Source organism: Homo sapiens, chromosome 6 (assembly GCF_000001405.40).
Source record: "Homo sapiens chromosome 6, GRCh38.p14 Primary Assembly".
NCBI classification, from domain to species: Eukaryota; Metazoa; Chordata; class Mammalia; order Primates; family Hominidae; genus Homo; species Homo sapiens.
The window spans coordinates 141,151,306-141,155,632 of NC_000006.12; the positions used below are offsets into that span (position 1 = coordinate 141,151,306).

The 4,327-nt window shown below is 39.9% G+C and overlaps 2 annotated features.

Moving 5' to 3' along the window:
* Nucleotides 2,183-2,796: an enhancer, noted in NCBI's record as "OCT4-NANOG-H3K27ac-H3K4me1 hESC enhancer chr6:141474625-141475238 (GRCh37/hg19 assembly coordinates)". NCBI's record gives its function as "activates a minimal SCP1, AML or CMV promoter by ChIP-STARR-seq in primed H9 embryonic stem cells {active_cell/tissue: H9 hESC(primed)}" and the evidence as "EXISTENCE:reporter gene assay evidence [ECO:0000049][PMID:30033119]".
* Nucleotides 2,324-2,483: an enhancer, noted in NCBI's record as "active region_25174". NCBI's record gives its function as "activates an Ori minimal core promoter by ATAC-STARR-seq in GM12878 lymphoblastoid cells {active_cell/tissue: GM12878}" and the evidence as "EXISTENCE:reporter gene assay evidence [ECO:0000049][PMID:35858748]".

The window sequence follows — 4,327 nt, forward strand, 5'->3', positions numbered from 1 at the left end:
CCGGAGATGCTTTAAAAAATAAAAAACTTCCCAAGGACACCTTTTTCTATCTGCCTAAAATAATCTCTTATAACTCCTACAACAATAATATTTATATGTGACTTTATATAGATGTAAACATTCAGAGTAAATAAATTGCATGGAATCAAAACAGCTAAAAGTAGACCAAACACATTAATTATAATTGGGATATAGTAACCTCTGACTTCAGATGCTCTACTCTCTCTTTAGCTAACAGACCCTCACATAGTGTAAAATTCTTTTAATAAAAAGCTGTTTATGTTTTATACTAGTTGGCATGCAAAATAGCAGGTATAAAATATATATATGAGTTGCTGGGGATCAAGGTTAATTATGGTCTCATTCACTTGTTAATTCTGGTAACTCTTTGAGAAATGTATATAAGAAATAAGTAATAACTGACACTGAATAGACAATTCAGTTTGTGACACATAAATAAGTTGTCACACTGGTAGGGATATACTTAGAAACTACTGAATTCCCAACTCGTGAATCTATATTTTGCACATTGCTAGTGTTGCAGGGATGCTGGGAGCTTATCATGGTCTCAGTGCCCAGGGAATTTTTCTAATGTTGATAGTCTATGTCAGCAATTTTTAAATGGAGGTTGTATTAGTCAGGGTTCTCTGGAGGGACAGGATTAATAGGATATATGTATGGAAATACATATACTATTATCATATATGTACTCCTTTTCATATGTATGTATGAAAGGGGGTTTATTAGAAAGAATTGTCTCACACAATCACAATTCAAGTCCCAAGATAGTCTCTCTCTGCAAGCTGAGAAAGAAGCCAGCAGTGGCTCAGTCTGAGTCCAAAAGCCTCAAAAACAGGGAAGCCAACAGTACAACCTTCAGTCTGTAGCCAAAGGCCCAACAGCCTCTGGCAAACACTGGTGTAGGTCCAAGAGTTCAAAGGGAAAAGATTCTAGAGTATGATGTTTAAGGGCAGGAGGGACAGAAGGAAGCATCCAGCGCAGGAGAAAGATGAAAGCCAGGAGACTTAGCAAGCCAGCTTATCCCAACTTCCTCTGGCTGCTTTGTTCTAGCAGCACTGGCAACCGATTGGATGGTGCCCATCCACATTGAGGGTGGGTCTTCCTCTTCCAGTCCACTGATTCAAATGTCAGTCTCCTCTGAGAACACCCAAACAGACACACCCAGAAACAGCACTTTACCAGCTATCTAGCCATCCTTCAATCCAGTCAAGTTGACACCTAATATTAATCACAATAGAGATCTCTTATAATAATGTGGGAGATTGAGTGTCCCTAGAATATTATTTTTTCTATAACATTTAAGTTTTTTATTTTTTGAGTCTGATAGCATAAACTATTTTGGGGGTAGAGAGGTATCAACCAAAGGCGTTAACTGAAATAAGCACCAAAAATGCTGTACTGGTATTGCTTTCATTTTCTTTAACCATAAAGATCTTAAAATTGTCATAGGAATTAAAAGAACCTCTCCCTCTCTGAAGGTTTGAGCCTTCCGAAATAACCTAACAATAGACAGATTAACAGGAGAAAAGGCATACAAATTTATTGACATGCACGTATCCATGAGAGCCATATGAAATATGTGACTCAAAGAAGAGCCAGATGGTGGAAGTATAAATATCCCATTTATAGGGGAGAGGGTAGTGGGGGCCTATAGATAATTTTAGAGGAGTAGTAAATAATTTTAGGAGAGATAAATGGGCCCGGGAGGGAGACATTATCCTATAAATGATTCTCTTAGGAATTTCAATGAGCCCAGAGACAGACAGTATCTTGTGACAAAGTCCATCCAGATGTGGTTACATTCCTGTCTTCTGGTAATAAAATTTCAGGGAAGGAGTAGAAGGCAATTGTGTTTTCTTTGGCAGATGTGATCTCAAAGCATAAAGGAATATTAAAGTAAAGCCTTTCCTTGTGCTTAGGGAGAAACAGAGGGTTTGAGACAGGGCTGCAGGGAAGGGGGAGGTCAGAGAGATCTTGAGCCTGCTTCTTTATTTCACCACATCAATGGATCATATTCTGGGATATTATTTTCTGATCCTTAAGATTGCAAACACCTAGTTCTAGCATTTCTTCTCCCCACTGCTCCTTATTTTTCTCCTCAATACTTTTCACTATTGACATACTCTAGCCTTTACTAGTGAAATGTTTGTTTTTGTGATTTTTATGATATAATAATAATTATATATTTGCTCTTTGTCCCTGGTTCCTGGCACAGAACTTCTAAAATTGTTGTAACTTCCTGAGTGGTAGGGGTGATTGAAATGTCTTTGTTATTATATCCGCCCCCCCTCCCCCGCCCCCCTACCCTGCAAACACCCCTGTTCCTGAAATAGCTCAGAAGCATAAAGATGAAAGGAGTATCTTTTGTTATTCATAACAAGCCCCTTTCAACTCTACCTGAGTTTATGTTAATGAGGTGACTTTTGGAAAGTACCTAAGAATACAGGCCTGGTTGCCAAGGGAACCAATCCTGTAATTAGAGGTTAGAACATTCAGCCCCATCCCCCAATCTTCAGAAAAAGGAGTGGGGTTAGAGATTGACTTAATCACCAAAGGCCAATGATTAAATCAATCATGCCTTAATAATAAAGCCTCCATAGAAACCCTAAAAATGGGTTTGGAGAGCATCTGGGTTGGTGAACAAGAAGGCTGCACATGCCAGGAGGGTGGCACACTGGAATGGAAGTTCCTGTGCTTGGGACCCTTCTGGATCTCACCCCATGTATATTTTCTTCTGACTGTTCATTTGTATCCTTTAAAATAGCATTTGTAGGCTGGCTGTGGTGGTTCACACCTGTAATTCCAGCACTTTGGGAGGCCAAGGCAGACGGATCACTTGAGGTCAGGAGTTCAAGACGAGCCTGACCAATATGATGAAACCCCCTCTCTACCAAAAATAGAAAAATTAGCTGGGTGTGGTGGCATGCACCTGTAATCCCAGCTACTCAGGAGGCTGAGACAGGAGAATTGCTTGAACCTGGGAGGCGGAGGTTGCAGTGAGCCGAGATCACGCCATTGCGCTCCAGCCTGGACAATAAGAGCAAAACTCCATCTCAAAAAAAAAAAATTTCTAATTGGTAAATAGTAAGTAAACTGTTTTCCTGGATTCTGTGGGCTGTCCCAGCAAATTGTTGAACATGAGAAGGGAGTCCCATGAAACTCTGACTTGTAGCCAAGTTGGAAAGAAGTTGTGAGTAACTAAGGGATCTTCTATTTGCAACTGGCATCTGAAGTAAGGAATATTTTGTGAGACTGAATCCTTAATCTGTATGGCCTGTTCTAATTCCAGGTGGTCAGGGTCAGAATAGAGTTAAATTGTAGGACACCCAGTCGGTGTTTGCTGATAATTAAGTAATTGGTTGGTGTGGAAAAAAAAACAAAAACAAAAACACTGTTGTTTAGAACTAGAATGAAAACTCCATGAGGACAAGAGTTCTGTCTGTTTTGGTCACTGTTTTGTGCATATAAGAAACTACAAAGCCCACCATTATTCGATTAACTCATCTTTTGCATCACAATTCCTTTTCACCAAGAGAGTGAGCAAGTCTGATTATTCCACCTAGAATCTGATAATTCCACACCTGTGGCATTAGGGGCAGGATTGAATGGAAATGGAATATAGGGTTCCTAAAAGAATGGAGTATTCAACGGAGGAAAATAGAGTCTAGCTCATTATTACTCTGTGAAATAAATTCTCAAGATCTTCATTTTATTAAAAAAGAAGGAAATGATCAGGGAGTTTGAGAAACTTATTCAAGTACCTAAAATAATTATCTGATTGTCAACTGAAGAATGACAAGATTCATATATTTGAAAAGGAGGACTTTATTTTTCATGAAGTGTTGTGGCCTGAAGAGTGGCCATTCTGGCAGACTGAGAAGAGTAGCCTATGGTCAGAAGCCAGAAACAGACACTTTGAGACAGGGACAGAGGGAAGAGGAACTTATGCTGAGCAAGGGGACCAAATATATGTATTTAATAAGCTATATGAGGAGTAATGAATATTTATGAAAGGAGAAACATACGCATGTGCAATTGAGCTTCATGATTCTCTATGGGATCCATGTTCAGAACATAGAGATGTTAGCATGATCCAAGGGTGGAGTTTCTGGCCCTCTCATGTCAAAAGGTGAAGCAGAGGACGGGAAAACCATTACTGATCATCCTCTGTAGACCGGCCAGACCCACTCCATAGTGGATGGTCTCCTACCAGGAAGAGATGCTGATGGGTTGTTTTGTTGGAACTGCAAAAGGAAGGGGCAGCAGTCAGGCCGTTGGTTATACCAACGGTGGAGTCTTCCGAAAG